Source organism: Homo sapiens, chromosome 10, assembly GCF_000001405.40.
Source record: "Homo sapiens chromosome 10, GRCh38.p14 Primary Assembly".
Classification (NCBI taxonomy): Eukaryota; Metazoa; Chordata; class Mammalia; order Primates; family Hominidae; genus Homo; species Homo sapiens.
The window spans coordinates 35,337,720-35,357,784 of NC_000010.11; the positions used below are offsets into that span (position 1 = coordinate 35,337,720).

Genomic DNA, 20,065 nt, shown 5'->3' on the forward strand with positions numbered 1-20,065 from the left:
TCCCATTCTACCGTTTTTTTTAAAAAATGATTTTTTTGAGTGGCGGTTCCAGGATTAGTCAAATAGCTTCTCCCGAGAATGCTCTTTAAAAGATTGTCAGACACCTTTGGGTTAAGTCTCAGTTTTTGCATGGGCCCGAATTGCAGTCCTATGAATTTCTGATTTATTCAGGTGACTTTTGGTTGGTCTGGAGTTTGCAAAAAGAAAAAAAGCTAAGACTAATTACTGCACGCAGTAATGTTTTATTTATTTTATTGGTTTGGCAACATATTTATTAGCACTGTTGCTCAGTGATAACGACAGAGGGATATTTATGCATCATGCTTAAAATATAGTTTATAGAATTTTCAACTGAAAAGATTTGAAATTGGAAGTATCTTTTTATGACAAGGTGATTTTTTTAACCCAAACATCTTCTCATAGTTAATCTGGTTGAACTAATATGAAGAAATTTTTGTGTGAATGAATGAACACAACTTCATAATTCGTTCCTGTCCACTTTAGGATGGAAGATTCTCTCCACTGTGGAAAGGCCACATTTAAACTTTGCTAAAGGAAAGATTTTTCTCGTTTGTCTTCGTGTAATTTCTTCTAAATGGTAGTTTAATCTTTTTAGGAGAGCATCTTTATTAAATGAGTGCCATGTATAAAGGGAGTAACACAACGTCTGGTTTCTAGTACGCGCTTAGTAAATTATGGTTCCATATGACGTGTCTAGTGTTGTTATTTTAGATTTCCATTATTTTAAACATACGCTTAGATGTCTTTGAACTACAGCCATACTTTCTTCTTAAATTTATGCATTTAAAGGCATCTAGAAGGATGAAGGCCAGATCGGTCTTGATCACTTTCACAGCCTCTAGCACCTGAAAGAAAAGTCTAGCATATAATAAACAGTAAGTATTGTACTTTAAAGGGAGGAATAAATGAATGAGTTTATTACAGAAAGCCATTACCCAGTCCTATACTATGTTGACAGGCGAAAACATTTGGAAATAATGTCTTCTTTATGATGTGCAGTAAATTTCCTTTTTATGTTGTGCAGTATCTAGCGGAGGCTTTGTTTTGAATGATGGATCAAAAAAGAAAAAAAAGAAGATTTACATTTCTTAGAGCCAGGCTGCATACAGTTATTATAGACTATTGTAAGGAAATAAGGTGGAAAAAATAAGTGTAACCAGGTATTTGGCACTAAGGCTCAGTACAATTTTGCCAGAGTACAGTGAAATGATATTGTGTGTTCTTTCATTTCAAAGAAATCTTAAGTTTCAGTCATCAGGAATTTTTGAGAGAATGTTTGGAAGACTCTTTTGCAGATTCAGGATAGTTTGAGAGAGTATAGGGCAGGTTTCCAATCTAGGCTGTGGAGTGCCCTCTCATCCCAGATCCCAGTTCATATGATTATGCTAGTTTAAACCCCGAAATATTAATTCACCTTCTGTCTCTCAAATTCAATAAATAATACTTCTAGCATTGACCCAGCCAGCAGTTCTCAACATTGGTTTCAGTTAAACCAGAAATCTAGTACTGGACATTGCCATTAATATGTTTAAATCTCTCCAAGGTGATTCTGAGATGCAGGTAGGCCTGAGAATTGCTGGCTGGGCAAATCTTGGAAGTGTTACCTGCCGTTCAGGGACATTTTTGGTAGAAATTCATTATTAGAGGCTGAGAGAAGAGAACAGGTTTTAATTAAATAGAGTGTATATATATACACACTATATACATCTATATGTCTGTATTTGCTCATCTATATCTGTATGTATTTGAACTGAGTTATATTGATTGTTAGGTTATTAGTAAACATTTTAAAACTACATTTTAAGAATCATTGACTCTAGTATATATCAAAAGCTGAAGTACTCAAATACCATATTTTTTATGTCCTGAAAAACATCCCACCCAGCTGGTTTAGAAAGGTTTGAAGTTCATGGGTCTTCTATGATAGGTTAGTGTCTTTAAATCACAGAGATATGACATATGTATCCATGCTTTCTTCCCTTTGTCACCAGGCACATGAAGGGGTAATACTTGTCCTGTAGAATTTCAGTAATTTTAGTGTCTGGGAACTTAGGTGTCTATGGTGCTTAATGGCAACTTAATGTGTCTTTTTGCTCAGTTTATCTTAGTGTTAGGTTATTCATGTTTTTGAAATTGATATTGGACTCATGCTTTCCAGGTATTATTTCTTATAAAATCATTCAGAGATTGAGAAAAAACAGCAACACATAACAACAATAGTAATCTTCAGAACAATTCTTTAGGAAAATAAAAAAATGATAGTAATAATTGCAGCCTATGTATTACTTACTCTGTAGCAGCTGTCACCAGCTGCCGCTCTAAGTACTTGGATTCCATTCATTTACTTAGAACTCACAGTAACCCTATGGGTAATATTACCCTTACTTTAAGACAAAGAAATGAGTCACTGAGAGGAGAAATGACTTGTCCAAAGTCACACAGCCAATACATGGCAAATGGAAACTTTCCATTGTTGCTTGACTTAGCCATCAAACGTTAGCTAGTCTGGGGTTGCCTTCTGGGATAGGGTGTCTTGTCATTGCAGTCATATCCATACTTTCTCAAGGATAAACTTCTTCTGTCTGCAGCAGTTATTCAGTCCAGACTTCCAGGATTAGATTATTTCTGTGGGAGGAGAAAGGGAGGGAGGGACTAAAGAGAATTTAAAATGTGAGGAGACCAAATAAATCAGGATACTTGTAACAGCTGTACCATAGTGTCCTTGTAGGGTTTTACCTTAAAATGGTTGATGGCAACTTCATTCTTTTTTTTTTTTTTTTTTGAGATGGAGTTTTGCTCTGTCACCCAGGCTGGAGTGCAGTGGCATAATCTTGGTTCACTGCAACCTCCACCTCCCGGGTTCAAGCAGTTCTCCTGCCTCAGCGTCCCAAGTAGCTGGGATTACAGGCATGCGCCACCACGCCTGGCTAATTTTGTATTTTTAGTAGAGATGGGGTTTCTCCATATTTGTTATACTGGTCTCGAACTCCTGACCTCAAGTGATCTGCCCGCCTCAGTCTCCCAAAGTGCTGGGATTACAGGGGTGAGCCACTGCTCCTGGCCCACTCTTTTCATTTTTATAGTTTACCTGTCATCCTTGACAACTCACTTTCTCCCTCGTCCTGTATCATATCTGGTAGGAAAATGTGGCTCTCTGCCCTCAGAATATATCAGACTTTGACCACTCTCAAGACCTCTGCTGCTGCTCTTCTGGAGATTTAAGCAGCTGCCATCTCCCCCAGCCCACCTGGTCTCCCTGCTTCCACCCTTGCCTGCTCCAGTCTGTTCTCGACACAACAGCCATGGCTAAGATCCTTTAAAAAACTTGAACTTATTCCTTCACTCAAAAACGGCAGTGACTCGTTATTGCACAAGTAAAAGCCTTACAGTGGTCGCTGGGGCCCCTTGGGATCTGCCTGCCATCAGCTCACTCAGTCGCTTGCTCATTCCAGCCACATTGGCCTCCTTCCTTGCCCTTCCTGGAACATACCAGACACAAACTTCCACCCCGTTCTCTCCCTCTGCCTGAAGTGTCCTCCATGTGCTCTCTTGGCTGAGTCCCTTTATCACCTGCAGCCTTGGTTCAAGCCTGACCTTTTCAGGGAGGCCTTCCCAATCACCTTTAAACATCCTTTCTGCCGCCCACTGGCAATCCCAATGCATATTCCCTGCACTCCTGTTTCTTTATTCCTTAACACTTTATGATATACTATATAAGTATAAACATAAATACTAGCTACTAGCTACTAGCATGTAAGTTCCAATAGAACATTTATTGTTTGGTTCACTGATGTAACCAAGTGCCTAGAGTAGCACCTGATTCCTTGAAGATACTATAAATATTTGTTGAATGAATTTGTTGAGTGAAACCAACCATTGAAGGATGTGAATGAAAACATCATCGCGTATGTTTATTGGGTGAGGGGAAACAGGAGGCAAGGAGAATGAAGAGGACTTGTAATAATGAAAGTAGCGTGGATGTGAAACTTTTTGGCTTTGTAGTTTAACCTGAGAGGTAGCAGATAGGGTGAAGTACTGAAAATGAAACTTAAAGGTTTTAAAGCTTAAAAAGAAAAAAAGCATACCCAGGCTGAAAGGAAACCTGGCTAATGGGAATCTGTTTAATAATGTGGTATGTTTAGTCTTTTTTCCTTGTTTCTTTCAACGAATGACTTTAGCTGTGGCCTTACATCCTTAAGGATCAAATTGAGACTCAAATGCTCAATTAACCAAAAAATACTAGATGAACATCTGCAATTATGAACATAGTCACTTATGTTGATTTTCTTGTCTGAAACATGAAGTGTCTAATGGGATATAGGTACATGGTGTTTTGGCTGTCTACAGCCAGAGAAGCTAGAAGCCTCAGGGACTCATCCCAAGCAGCGGAGGGATAACTGGCAAAACTGCTTGCCGTTAGAAGAGTGGGGACACAGGGCAATTTGAAATCTAAGTGCCTGTAGGATGAGCTTGCATATTGCTCTTGGCTTCCTTGAGTCTCTACAATCTATTTAACATCACCTCTGCAGCACTCTTTCTTGAATCTTGGTCCCACATTAACATTACCAGCCCTGGTGGGCAGAACATACCGTGGACTTTCTTTCCAGGCTAAGACTTATCAGCCCTGCTGTCTGCAAGGTATGTGGAGACACCCCGACCAAGCATGTGACTTCATATTAGTTAGCAGTGTGGAGAAGTGCAGTTTAAAGATTTGTCAAGAGAGCCATTCTCCATAGCACTGACCATGGGTCCATGACCTGTCTCTGCTTACTTTTCATGTTTCTCTTTCACTTAGAATCAGGGAGTCGTTTGCTTCCACACACCCATTTTACAGGTGGGAAGACTGAATCTCAGAGAGGTGTAGTTTCTTGCCCAGGTCATGCAGATCATGGATGATGGTAGTAGAATTTACTTTGTTAATTTTCGGCCAACAACCGTGCTAATTACTTGACCTGTATTGTTTTTCTTAGTCTTCTTATCATTCTCCCCATTTTCTAGGTGAAGAAATTGAGCCTTAAAGGTTAAGGCATTTGCGGAAGGTTCCTCAGTTTGTTAGTGGCAGCTGGGGTTCGGTCTGCTGTCAGCTTGCCTCCATGCCTCAACTGCCCTGTGACAGCTAATTAGAGAATGATCCGTGTCTAGAATCTGAACCTCCTGATGGCCTGGCCCAGCCCACTTTGTTTCAAGAGATTCATAGTTATTGCCTATATGCTTTTGTCTAGCAATATTTTGTGTAAGGACTTTTACTTTCCTGCCTGCCTTTTTTTTTTTTTTTTTTTTAAGACAGGGTTTTACTCTCTCGCCCTGGCTGGAGTGCAGTGGCGCGATCTTGGCTCACTGCAACCTCTGCCTCCCAGGCTCAAGTAATTCTCCTGCCTCAGCCTCCCGAGTAGCTGAGATTACAGGTGCACGCCACTACTGCCCAGCTAATTTTTGTATTTTTAGTAGAGATGGGGTTTCACCATGTTGGCCAGGCTGGTCCATATGATCCACCCACCTTGGCCTCCCAAAATGCTGGGATTACAGGCATGAGCCACTGCGCCCAGTCTCCTGCCTGCTTTTTGAGAGTAATGAAAATTAAATAATTCCATGGAGTGGTAGATTTTCTCACCTTCTCACCCTCCTCTACAAAGCTGATGGTCTTTTTTTTTTTTTTTTTTTTTTTTGAAACGGAGTTTCGCTCTTATTGCCCAGGCTGGAGTGCAGTGATGCCATCTCGGCTCACTGCAACCTCCGCCTCCTGGGTTGAAGCAATTCCCCTGCCTCAGCCTCCTAAGTAACTGGGACTACAGGCACGTGCCACCACGTCCGGCTAATTTTTGTACTTTTAGTAGAGACGGGGTTTTGCCATGTTGGCCAGGCCGATCTCAAACTCCTGACCTCAGGTGATCTGCCTGCCTCTGCCTCCCAAAATGCTGGGATTATAGGTGTGAGCCACAGTCTCCGGCCTGATGGTCTTGCTTTTACATTTCTGGCTAGATGAAACTAATGCAAGGATTAAATTTATTTCTATCCAGCAAGGGGCAGAACCAAAAAATACCAAGAAGCAGGATATGTGTGTGGCTTTGAAATTCTGTTTTAATCACATAGGGTCAGAGATTTAGCTCCAAGTGTGTCACATTGGATTGACTTTGAGGAAACAGTGCTATTTTTCACAAGAGGGCTATTGACAGTATCATACTTGTCACACTTCAAAGTGTGAATCCTTTCATGATTCAACATTGGGCTGTGAGGGTAGGTCCCCAGCAATGACAGTTGATGTAAGTCCCTCATCCTTTCAGTATTATTTCCAGTTTATAGCTGGAAGAAGGGTGAGAGTTCACTTTCCCTGCAGCATTTCTCATCCTCTTCAGATGTTGAGTAGTTTGTTGCTTGGAGCCTTGGTCAGGAGACCATTTCTTCTCTGATTCTCAGCATTATTCTAGCCTGTCTTTCCTGAAGAAAGGAGAGGCTCAAGGAAGGTAAAGTCAGAGAAGGCTCTTCTCAGGGGATTTATAGGGTGTGCTCCCAGCTCTGTGAAGTATGGTGGAGGGCAAAGAGAGGAAGCCTTGTAATGGGAAGACCCGCATTCCAGATGAGGTTCTACTTTTACTGAGGGGCCTCCGTCCTGCTGAGCCTCACCTTCCTCTTCTGCTTAAAAAAAGTGCTTAAAAATACTGCCTTGCCTTGGGCTGGGCGCCGTGGCTCATGCCTGTAATCCCAGCACTTTGGGAGGCTGAGGCAGGCGGATCATGAGGTCAGGAGATCAAGACCATCCTGGCTAACATGGTGAAAACTGGTCTTTACTAGAAATACAAAAAAAATTTTTTTTTCAGTTGGTATACTTTATTTCTTTTTTACTTTTTAAATTATACTTTAAGTTTTAGGGTACATGTGCACAATGTGCAGGTTTATTACATATGTATACATGTGCCATGTTGGTGTGCTGCACCCATTAACTCGTCATTTAACATTAGGTATATCTCCTAATGCTATCCCTCCCCACTCCCCCCACCCGACAACAGGCCCCGGTGTGTGATGTTCCCCTTCCTGTGTCCATGTGTTCTCATTGTTCAATTCCCACCTATGAGTGAGAACATGCCGTGTTTGGTTTTTTGTCCGTGCGATAGTTTGCTGAGAATGATGGTTTCCAGCTTCATCCATGTCCCTACAAAGGACATGAACTCATCATTTTTTATGGCTGCATAGTATTCCCTGGTGTATACGTGCCACATCTTCTTAATGCAGTCTATCATTGTTGGACATTTGGGTTGGTTCCAAGTCTTTGCTATTGTGAATAGTGCCGCAATAAACATGCATGTGCATGTGTCTTTATAGCAGCATGATTTATAATCCTTTGGGTATATACCCAGTAATGGGATGGCTGGGCGAAATGGTATTTCTAGTTCTAGATCCCTGAGGAATCACCACACTGACTTCCACAATGGTTGAACTAGTTTACGTCCTACCAACAGTGTAAAAATGTTCCTATTTCTCCACATCCTCTCCAGCACCTGTTGTTTCCTGACTTTTTAATGATTGCCATTCTAACTGGTGTGAGATGGTATCTCATTATGGTTTTGATTTGCATTTTAAAAAATTAGCTGGGTGTGGTGGCGGGTGCCTGTGGTCCCAGCTACTCAGGAGGCTGAGGCAGGAGAATGGCGTGAACCCAGGAGGCGGAGCTTGCAGTGAACCGAGGTAGCGCCACTGCACTCTAGCCTGGGTGACAGTGAGACTCCATCTCAAAAAAAAAAAAAAAAACTGACTCGCCTTACACATTGAGGTAGTACTATGAGGATCCAAATGAGGCTAAAATGCTTAAAAAGCCACAAAGTACTAGATGAACTTATGTCATTATGAATGTGGTACTCATATTGATTTTCTTGTATTATATGTGAAGTGTGCTCCAGTATCTCCACCTAATTATGTTTGGACTGTCCATAGTTGGAGAAGCTGGAAGCCTAAAGAGCTTATCCTAACAAAGACATCAAAGCAGGCTTCAAGGCAGTCCCAGAGCATAACTGTAATTTTAGAGCTGGGTAGGGTAAGGTTATATAGAGCTGTCTGACCTTTGAGTGGGATGCTTGCTGGCTGTAGAATTTGGAATAGAAATACTATTTCTCAGATTCATTACTCTTCTGAGTTGCATCTTTCTGAAGTCAGTGTGATGCCACACAGGAGCAGTGGGATGAATATTTGAAGAAGCTTTCCCTGACTCCTGGGGTAATGGAACCCACCCAGGCTGTCTGCTAACTGTGTCCCCGGAACCACATTCCTAGGAATGTCAGCATGCACCCTTAGGTGTAAGCTGGAGCCAGGGCTTGCTTGCTTGCTTATTTATTTATTCAAAGAATAGGATTTTGAGGCATGCATAAATATGCTTTATTATATTAAAATACTGCTTTTTAATAAAGGGTAGTTGGTTACCTAAAATAATAAGATCAAGCGTTCCTCAGCAGGTTATTAGGGGCTGTTGTTCTCATTTCTTTTAGGAAAGGAATCTAACTGGCTAGACCCACAATTGCAGGGAGCTCAGGAGATACCCCACCCACCTTTTCTTTCTTGCTGTTGGCTCTGTGTGTTGCTGGTAGCTGTTGCTAGGCTCTCTGTCTCCCTTTACTTTTTCTAGGGGCTTCCTTTGCTATTTGCCAGCTTGGAAAGAAGGGTGTGCTAAAGCTAAAATTGAGCATGTCAGCCTGGCAAGTCACATTGGTGGATCCCACACATCAGCAAGATTTTGCCTGTAAAGTCTCTTGATGACTCTGGCAGAAGAGGTCATTTCAGGGGTTGGCCAACTCCAGACTGCCACTTTGTTGCCTTGCCAGGAAGGTTGCTTTTCAAATAGATAAGTGGAAAACCTGTAAATCTGTTTTTTTCACCTTTGTCAGAAGATGGACATTCTATACATTAGGTTTTACTGTTTTTTTGAGATGGGTTTTGTTCTGTTGCCCAGGCTGGAGTGCAGTGGCGTTAGCTCACTGCAAACCTCCGCCTCCTGGGCTTAAGTGATCCTCCCACCTCAGCCTCCTGAGTAGCTGGGACTATAGTCGTGTGCCACCATGCCCAGCTAATTTTTGTATTTTTTGTAGAGACAGGGTTACGCCTTGTTGCCCGGGCTGGTCTCGAACTCCTGGGCTCAAGCCATCTGCCCGCCTCGGCCTTCCAAAGTGCTGGGATTATAGGTGTGAGCCACCATGGGTTGCCCCATTAGTTTGTAAAGAAACTTTTTTGTTATTGTTTTGTTTTGTTTTGTTTTTTAGTATGGTTTAAAAACTGATCTGAGAGGCAGTTTCATAAAAGAAATTGTAAAATGTTTTGGGCCATGGTAACAACTCTGGGCTGAGTCTAGTCTCCCATGGTTATACTACTTGCATTAAAAAGTACTTCACTGCAGACACATTATCCCTTATTGGGGATGTGTAGTGGGGCTTCAGACACATTGTCCCGTACTGGGGATGTATAGTGGGGCTTCACTGGGTATGGTGTATTTGAGTGGCTTGCTCAGCAGAGATGTGTGAGCAGCTTAGACATGTCAGCTGGCTCCTGGTACTGAGAGAAATACAGCTGGGCACAGTAAGGAGAATTGTTAGCAACTACAATCACATCCGTGCCAGTTTGCTTTGTGAGCTTTGCAGAAATCCCAGTTGGGTGGTGAAATGCAAGTCACTTCTATTTTGGATGCCTCTGATTATAGACCTTCTGACTGTTGAAGGCTGACTAGGAAATACTCTGCATGGGAGTTCTATGTAATATAGCTATATGTTTCAAAACTGTGAGTGCAGTGCTTACAACATTTTATAAGCAAGTTCTTTATTTTGGGTGGATGCTTCTGTTCTTGGTGGTCAATAAGGAAAAAGAGCAGTTATTAAGGATATTTTGTTTATATTTGGTAAGCTCCTTGTCTCACACTGCAGATTTAACATGAATCAGAGGAATTAGTGTATGGGTGGGTAGGATGAGTTCTGTTTTTTGCTTCTCAAGAAAAGATTTCACTCCAAATTTAGAATTCTGTCTATTAATGATTATATGATCTTAGGATTTTAATTGACTTTCAGGATTTTATTGGATACATTTATTCCAGTTAGTGCAATGATAATAATCCTTTAAATTATTTCTGGTTCTTACAGTAGGTTTGTAAAATTTGTGTAGTTGTTTAAAAGTCCAGGTTTTACAGCTCCTCGTCTGTGTATCCTGTCAAAGTCCCGGAGGAGAAAGAAGTCATGGTGCTGTGTTTAATCCAGTTTCAAAAATTTCAGACGCACATATTTATCAAGGATTCCTTTCATTTACAGTGAGTGTTAACTTTTGTCAGTTTAGGGATAATCTTATTTTTCCACAGCCTTTTTTCCCTCAAGCTGTGAACCGTTATTGCACCATGTAGTGCTTGTTGCTCTTTTGCTTGCAAAGTGATGATAAGCAGTTTATATAGCATTAGAGATTGTGTTCTATATTCTGAAAGCCAAAGCTGATGTTATTGAAGAGTTACAAGTTGTTTATTCACTCTAATGTTAGCAAATATTCGACTCCCACTTTTCTGTAAGATAAGTCTGATGTCTGATTTGTCATTTCTCCTATTTGGTGGTAGGGAGTCTGGAGGAAGCCTAGCAACCTTGCTGTTCAGAAAGGATGATGCCAGGCATAACCACGGAGGGGTCCATCTGAGGGCTGCTTTGCGAACCACTGGCTTCTGAGGAAGATTGTTGGTTCCGTTAGGGCACATATCTTAAGCACCGTGTGTGCTCTGCAGGCACACTTGGCTGTTGGTTGAGTTCTCTTCTGAAGCAGGAGGATACGACTTCGTCACTCACAGTACGAAGCTGCCTGCAGTCTCTGGATGTTGGAAGTGTAAGATGTGAGCAGAGAATATGAGCAGGAGCCCCCGTCCAGGGTGGGATGAGTCAGGGAGGACCCCATTGCAAGATAGCAGGGCTCTGAAAGCCCGGCAGGGCCCTGAGAGGTCAGCAGCAGGCAGCCAGAAGTAGGTTGGGTGCTTTTATTCTTAGCGATGTTTGGGTGCCTGTGTGCTGTGCCCTGGAGAATGGTTCGGGCTGGACAGCTAGCATGGCAGTGATTCTCAGTCAGGGATGGTCTGAATCTGGACACAATTTCCTTCTTTCATGGAACTAATATTCTGAGAGAAACAGTTGTTGAAATCTAAGTTGGGTTTTTTTTTTTTGAAAATGAACCTTACTCTTGTATCCAGGATATTTTGTAAGGGAGCATTGTAACAGGAATCCAGTGACCCTTGAACAACACTAACTTGAACTGTGCGGGTACACTTCCATGTGAATTTTTTCCAACCAAACCAGGTTGAAAATGCAGTGTTCTCGGGATGTAAAATAGAGGGCCGCCTTTTTGTGTATCAGCGGGTTCCACAGGGTGGACGGTGGGACTTGAGCGTGCTTGGGTTTTGGTATCTGCAGGGGTCCTGGAACCAATCCCCCTCGGACACTGAGGGATGGCTGTAGAGGTAAGAGTGAAGGGTACCTCTGGAAGGAGAGCTCAGCAGGTGAGTTAGAGAAGGGATGGTGTAGATGTGTGAGCAGTCTGCTAGGAGACAGCCAGCTGCCTCATGGACACAGCAGAGCCTCTCCTTGCTACCCACTCTCCCACAACCTCAGACTACATCTGTGTCTTCACTTTGGAAGTGGCATGTTGACAGTCAAGGCCTCAAATGAGTGCATTTCCCTGCCCTCTTTGTCTGGCTTTAACATGGTTTGAAACATGATGTTAAACTACAATATTGATGCCAACCAGAGAAGGACAGTGTGCAAGTTGGCGATACACTTCTTAGTGTTCTGTTCCCTAAGCTCATTTTCATAAATGGGTTTCTTTCTTGATTAGTCATATTCACATATGAATGTGTATTTGCTAAATCTCAATTCTTGGTGTGAAATTCAAGGACACTTTAAAGCAGGAATTGATAAGGAAGCTATAGCAGGGTTTCTCCCTCCCAGCACTGTTGACATTAGGGGGGGCTGCCCTATCCATTGCAGGATGTTTAGCGGCCTCCCACCTCTGTCCACCAGATGCCATGCCAGCTGCAGCAACAGCACCCTCCATAACAACAACAAAAAAATGTTTCCAGATGTGGCCAAATGAAATCTCCCCTGAGAGGGCAACTCCTCTACTCTGCCTGAAAATCAGTGCCTTACAGGCTCTAGGATTCCAGGTGAAAGAGAAATTTAGTAGAGCAATTTGCAGTGGTTCTGCTTTCTTCGTATCTGTCACTTGCACACATCACGGCCTCAGGGGTTGCAGGGGTTGCACAGCTCCAGGGCTGCCATTAGCATCAGATTTTGATGGGAATGAGCCCTATGTCTCCTCCTCCAGCTTTGCAAAGGGCTGCGTTGTTCCTTTTGACTCCTTAGAACTAACATTAGGTTCTAAGATGGTGTTCCTAATGGTACTGTTGACAGGAAAGACATTGGCCACCGTTCTGACAATGGGTGGTGGGGTAGCTTTCTGTGTGCACTTGGAAGTTGTGTAATTTCTTTAACTCAGATTCATAATTCACTTAATTTTTTGCCCTTATTCCTTTTGCTTTTTTCTTCCTTTTTTATTGAAAGAGTAGTAAATTTTTCTTCTTTTATCCAGCAGTTTTGTTTCTTATTCATTTTTCACATTAGCTACTTCTGTATGTGTGTGTTTCATATTTTATGAGTACTCACAGTGGACTTTTTTTTTGAGAGTCTATTCTGATGAGGAATATGTAAATGGAATGACAGTTAAGAGTCTGTAAAGTTCTAATCCGACTACATTTTCTGACAGTGTGTAGCTTTGGCTTGGTTCAGGTGCTGAATTGGTTTTGTATCTTTGTGGACTGTTTGAAATCTCAGCTGCAGCATGATGACCTGGCCCCCCGAGGCAGGTGGTGAACTGAACAGGCATTTGATTCAGGGGTCTGGCATTCAAGGGCATCCTTAGTGGAAAACTTTGAAGGGGAGAAAAACCCTTGGTTTGTTGCATCTCTGTTGCACTGTTGAGGAAAAATAGTGATGAGATCATTTAAATTATTTGATCTCAAGAGTCACTTCCATTAGTCAGGTGCACTGCTGCTGGATTGAGGAAATGGCAGCGTGGGTTTCTTGAAATAGAGGTTTAGAAATTCGAGTCTTGATTTTCAGCTTGCCTAGGTGAAGGAAGCTCCAAAGAATGTCGTGACACAGTATTCCTGACAAACATTGTCTCTAAGTATATTTGAACCAAAAATGTCAGTTCCTTAGAAAGTATGTTTATAAATATACAAATGGAAGTGATTCTTGAAATTGAAGGTGCCTTCCAAAAGTCTGAGGTTTGAAAACATTTAGTCAACTCTTGCCCTGTCCATATAGCACACAACTTTTATTAGGAAAGTTATCATTATAAGAGAGTAGCTATTCATTAAAGAGGTGGTTTTCAACACTGCTATTACAGAGCTCAAAGGGGACTGCCCAGGCCATTACCACAGGATTAAAAAGGCCCCTGCATGTGATTGTCAGGACTTATGTCAGTGTGTGCACAACCAATCAGGAAGATTATTTGGAGTTGTGAAAATGAACCTCTTCTGTTTATACGACACATCTGGAAGTGACGTGGAAGATGAACTCTTCAGGTCAATTTAGGCAAAGCTGCCAAACCTTGATTACTTTCTCTGTATTCTTTTGGTATTCTGTGGTCCTTCAAAGTGACTTTAAGTACTGTTTTTAGAGTGATTCTGAAGTTTAAACAAGCTCAGTATATGCCTAATTTCCTGAAATAGGAGGTCTCTCAGGGAAGGTCCAGCCTAACCCAAGTTAAATACGTTCTTTAGTTCTATCAGCTGTTTTTCAGATGCAACTAATCTAGAAAGTTTGTTTGCACAAAATAAAAATATGGCAAAATGTGTTTTATACTACTTACATAGTGGGTGCTTAGTTTGTGGGAAACAGGGATATATTTCTGAAACAAGGACAATTATGCTTACAGAATATTTTAAGAATTTTTATTTTAAGTATATAATACCATTGGAACAAGATGAACAGCACTGCTTCTTATGAGATACCCTTACAGGACCTTTTTTGGTAAAAGGGTAACTAGCTAATTATTAGGGTAGTGTATATGTAGGGAGAGTATTTATAATAAGCCTGAAATCACATTCTCTTTGCAAAGACCAGTGCTCCTCCTGAATGTCTTCAGCCTAATAATCTAAAGAGCCATTTATTATACACTTTGGTGGTTGGATTTAGCCATCTTGTGGTGGGAGCAGTCACTGAGCTCCAAGTTAAGTTAGCCACATTGTTTTGTTTGCTTCTGAGTGTGTAAGTGATCTACCTAGTTTTCAAGTATTTTAAGACGTTTGGCATATGATATTTTCGCCTTCAGTTCACTTATTTTATTCCATTGAAGTGTTAACGCTGACGGTGGGTCACTGTGTGGGGTGACAGTGGCTGAAAAACTGATTGCAAAGCTGTATTTAAAATTTTTTTCAGAGTTCAAGAGTGGTGTCAGTTCTTCAGTTTGACATTCTTGCTATAGATAGAGGTTATGTAAACACAATGCTAGTACTCCAAGGAACTAAACAAGCTGAGAAGTTAGTGGAGTTCCTTTCCTTTCTCGTTAAGCTAACATTTGTAGCAAGTGGCTGCATCCCCTTGAAGTGTTTGTGGAATGTGTTCTCTTCATCCACAGAGAAGATGTTGGAGAGAAAACAGAATTAACTAGGCAAGTAGTTGGCTGAGAGAATTACCAGTGCCTGGGGTGACTAGGCTTAGAGCCACAGCCATTGTAGGTGGTCCACAAATATGGTAGCCTGAGCAGAGGGCCATTTTCTAGAAATGTGAGAATTTGATGTCCCCTGTGGGAATTCGAGCTTCAGTTCTTCAGTAGGTCAACAACCATTGGTCAGTCCAAGTTCTGCCGTCCAGCCTCCCTGCTGGATGCTGGGAATACAAAGGTCAACGTTATTTGGACCTTGCGCTTAAGGACATAATGATCTATTAGGTGAGACAGATGCAAATAAGGGATTACAATACGGTGTGTAGGGGAAGAAGGGACACCAGAGTCCCCTGGATGGCAGAGGATGTGGTCAGGGTAAGTTAGCAAATGAGCGCTGCCTGATTAGTGAGGGGAAAGAGTGGTGAAGGGGGTGGGGCAGTGAGGCAGAGGCCGGTAAGGCCAAGGCAGGCACAGGGTAATTTGCTTCTGAAAGATCCAGGCTGGACTGGGCATATGTTCCTTTTTTCTTTCTTTCTTTCTTTTTTGAGATAGGGTCTCACTCTGTAACCTGGACTGGAGTGCAGTGGTGAGATCATAGCTCACTGCAGCCTTGACCTCCCAGTCTCAAGCAGTCCTTCTGCTTTAGCCTCCCGAGTAGCTGGGACCACAAGTGTGCACCACCATGCCTGGCTAAGTTTTTAAATTATTTGTACATACAGGGTCTTGGCATGTTGCTTAGGCTGGTCTGGAACTCCTGGGCTCAAGTGATCCTCCTGCCTCAGCCTCCCAAAGTGCTGGGATTACAGTCATGAGCTACCACACGTGGTGGGTATATGTTCCTTTTGAAGTCAGTAGGTAGTTTAGTTGAACTTGTTCGTAGCTTAGTCCCCAAAGATTTAATGAATTGTGCTCATTAAGAGGACGTTTGTTGGAAAAGAGATTTCACAATGATGGATGTGTACTGGAGTTTCATGTATATTTTTATATACTCTAGATTCTGGAGAATGATCACTCAGTTTTAGTGTGGAAGACAGAATAGACATCTTTAGAACTGTAAAAGGAATAAGCTATTTTTGTTGAGTATGAGAAGAAGATAGCCTTCGTAGAATCACAGGCTGTTCAGAGCATCAAGGACCTCATACTGTAGGAGATCCTCATGTTACAGATAGGACAGCTGAGCTGCCAAGAGGAGCTGCTCCTCGGCTCCCCAAAGCTGGTTCACAGCAGTTCTCAGTCTGAGAGCAAGTCTTCTGATACTGGGGTCAGATCCTTTCACTGCAACACACTGTACCTCTTTTAAACCAGTTCTTATAGCAAGGTAAAAGTTTCTCAAGAAGAAATTGACCTATCTTAATGTTTTTCTTTTTTAATGTGATGTTAGTCTAAGTAAGAATTATGTTTTAGGGAATTGTATTAGTTGAAAAGCTGTACAAGAAATTACCCCAACATTTAGTAACTTAAAATAACAACATTTGTTGTCTCTCAGTTTTTGTGAGTCAGGACTCCCAGTTTAGCTGAGAGCCTCTGGCTCAGGGTGTCTCCTGGGATTACAGCTGAGCTCTCAGGTGGGGCTGTAGTCAACTCATGGCTCAACTAGGGGAACTGCCTCCAGGCTCACTTACGTGGCCAATGCAGGCATCAGGTGCTCACTGGCTGTTGGCTGGATACATCAGTTTCCTGCCACACTGGCCTCTCCATAGGGCAGCTGGCTTCCCCTGGACCAAGTGATCCAAGAGAGAGCAGGAGAGACCAAGAGAGACCCACAAGATGGAAGCCATACATAGTCTTTTTTTTTTTTTTTTTTTGGGATGACATCTCACTCTGTCGCTCAGGCTGGAGTGTATTGGCGGGATCTCAGCTCACTGCAACCTCTGTCTCCTGGGTTCAAGAGAGTCTCCTGCCTCAGCTTCTTGAGTAGCTGGGATTACAGGCGCCCACCACCACGCCTGGCTAATTTTTGTATTTTTGGTAGAGACGGGGTTTCACAAATTGGCCAGGCTGGTCTCGAACTCCTGACCTCAAGTGATCTGTCCGTCTTGGCGTCCCAAAGTGCTGGGATTACAGGCATGAGTCACCGCACCTGGCTGGAAGCCATAGTCTTATAACCTGAGCTTAGAAGTGACATTTCGTCACTGCTATTTGATAGAATCAAGTCATTAAGTTGAGGGGACAGTATTATATTAATACAAGAGTGTGAATACCAGGAGATACATTGGGGCCCATCTTGGATGCTGCCCACGACAAACATGGATTAAGATTCTGTTCATTGTGTTTAACAGAAGTTCACTAAAACTGACTTCCGCAAAACAGACGGGGAGTGGGAGAGAGAATAACTATGGGATCTGAGGATTTTTCATGGAGACAAAGGGTGAGGAGCATAACTAAGTCTCATGAGGAACTGGACTTGGAAGGTGGACAGTCTGTAGGAACTGAGGCAGCTTTCTCCTTCAGTATCTTAATAGTAAATTCTCCTATCTTTCTAAGTCAGTCTTATGTTTCAGGTGTCTCAAATTTATTTTTCTTTTAATCTTTATTCTTTATAAAATAGCTATTTTTCTTTGTCTACACATGGTGGAAAATGGCCACCCCAGTGGTTCTAGGACCATAAAAGACTAATGGGAAGAATTTCTGTGTCCCAGGAGAGAGGATTGAGTTTCCTTTGCCCCACTAGTGGGATGGCTCCCCCTATGAAAGTTGTCCAGTGAGCAGGGTCAAGGTTTAGGTTTGGGGTACGGACATGAGTGCAGGAGCCTTACTCTCCTGTGTGTTGTCAGGGATGGATAAAGGGGATGAAGTTGGAGGGGTTTAGTGAATGGTTGGGACAGCAAATTTCAGAGAAGAGCATTTGGAAATAATTTTCTCAAATATATATTTTTAAAATCCATATTTGATTTTTTTCCCTCAGGGATTCCCAAGCATAGTAGAGCTAAAATGAATTAATTTGGGTAAAAGTAAAGTTAAGGCTAAGTTAGGAAACACTTTTAAAAACAGGAACCTGCTGCGTGCGGTGGCTCCTGCCTTGTAGTCCCAGCACTTTGGGAGGCAGAGGCGGGTGGATCACCTGAGATCAGGAGTTCAAGACCAGCCTGGCCAACATTGTGAAACCCCATCTCTACCAAAAATATGAAAATTAGCTGGGTGTGGTAGCGCATGCCTGTAGTCCCAGCTACTCGGGAGGCTGAGGCAGAAGAATCGCTTGAACCCAGTAGGCAGAGGTTGCAGTGAGCCAATATTGCGCCATTGCACTCCAGCCTGGGCAACAGAGCAAGATACTGTCTCCAAAAAAAAAAAAAAAAAAAAAAAAAAAAGAGGAATGTTAGTGGAAAAGCAAGGTTTTCTATATTAATTATTTAAAAAATGTCTCTGAGACTAGTATTAACCTGGAAAACTTACTGATTATCGTAAGTACTATTTCTCTCTCTCTCTTTAGTTGCCCCTTATAAATTCCAGGTTTAACAACTTTTTAAAATGTTCTTATGCCATGAACATCTGTCAGCTTTCCTATCTTAGATTGTTTTTTTTTTTAGCAGCTTATGTAACTTGAAATGAAATTACCATTTTTTGTTCTAAAACTGCCCATTTAGTGTGTTGATAGGGTTTTGCTTTTGGCTTCAGTTGATTTCAATAGATGACAAAGATGCAGAAAAGGTTTTTATTTTCATTTTTGCATGCTTGTTCACTTCCATGGCACTTTAAAATGATGCACACTCTGGCTTAGCTGCAAGAAAGCTTGTATTACAAAGATAGAAACCAAAAGCCTTTTCTGGAGGTGTTTTTCTTTTTGCTTTGTAGATAAGTCAGAAGAATCCTGTGAAACCTAAAGACAGTCTACCACTTGCATAGTTGGGTAGTTTTCATTTTTGTTCTTGGAGTTGGATCTGAGCAGTACAGCAGTAGCAGCAATTAAAGCATGTTAGTGTATGGTAAACACTTATGCTTGTACATCTTAAGATGTTGCTTTGTTGGTCAAAATCCGATTTTAAAAGTTGAGACTGGTGCAGTGGTTTTGGGAATTAACACATGGTAAACAGCTCTGTTCCCAGCCCCCAATTCTCCATGACTCCGCGTGGGGGTAGCTGGTGTTGTAGCGCATGTTTGAGGACGTGGATGTGGCAACGGGAAGCGTGCTTCACATGGGGTGGGTCCACAGAGCCTAGCATGGTTGGCTGGGTGGTGCTTCTTCAGAAAAATCTGCGCCCACTCCTTAACCTCTTCATGTTTTACTCATACTCTGCTATTGTGGGTTTAGGTTTGGCAATAATGCTGCTACTTACATTGAGAACCTAATAGGGAAAAAAGACTGGGCTTTGTAGTTGCAACGATTGCTGGGAAGATGCAACAAGTTTTTCTAGCTTCTTATTATGGTTTACTGTGATCCATTCTCTTAAAACTATTCTTTCTTATAATCCTCTCTCTCTCTCCTTAACAGATGAGGAGTTGATCATGCCACTGCCCTGCTCACAATCCCTGAGTGGCTTCTGTTGTGGTTAGAGTAAATACATACTCCTCCCCGTGGCTCAGAGTCATTGGTGTCTGTCCCCTGCCTGCCATGTAAACCTCCTTTCTCGTTGTGACTCCATGCACAAGGGCCTCCCAGTGTTTTTCAAGCTTCCAACTTTGTCTGTCTCAGGCTCTGTACAGATGTTCTTCCTTCTGCCCTGCATGCTCTTCCCAAAGCTCATCACCTGGCTGGCTTTTGGGCATCCCGCATCACCCCGCATCACCTGTTCAGGTTTTTTCCTAAGAACATAATCCAGAGAGAGCAGCCCCTGCTCCTGCCCCTGCCCCTGCCCCAGCCCCAGCCCCAGCCCCAGCCCCATCACGCTCAGTCACTTTACCTTTATGAGGTAATGTTTACCACAGTCTGAAATTATCTTATTTGCCTGTTGCTTGTGTTTCCCCCACTCCCAGAATAGAAACACAATGAGGACAGGGACATGTCTTGCCCACTACGATGCCTCCATCACCTAACACAGTACTTAGCATATAGTAGTTCTCAGGAAATACTCGAATGAATAGAAGTGCTGCATTCATTTAACACATAGCAAACATTTTTTTGTATGTGTGTTTCTAGACCTTGGCATTTTTAAAGAGCACTGGTCAGTTTGTAAAATATCCCTCAATTTGACTTTGTCTAGTGTTTCCTCTGGATTAGATTCAGATTATGTATTTTTGGTAGAAGCAGTGCCTCGTGTCAGAAGGCACGTGTCTGTTTATCCCAGCATTGGGGATGCTAACTTTGATCACTTTGTGAAGCTGTGTCATATTCTAGGTTTCTTCAGTGTACTGTTGCTGCTTTTTCCTTTGTAATTAATAAGTAATTTGTGGGGAGATTTAGACTTTGTAAATATTCGATTTCTTATCAAACTTTCACTCACAAGTTTTA

The 20,065-nt window shown here is 42.2% G+C and overlaps 1 protein-coding gene across 5 annotated transcripts in view; it reads left to right on the forward strand.

Annotated features, from left to right (window-relative positions):
• Window positions 1–20,065, forward strand: part of CCNY (cyclin Y) — a 325,643-nt gene that overhangs the window by 90,695 nt on the left and 214,883 nt on the right. The gene's annotated exons all lie outside the window — the stretch shown is intronic.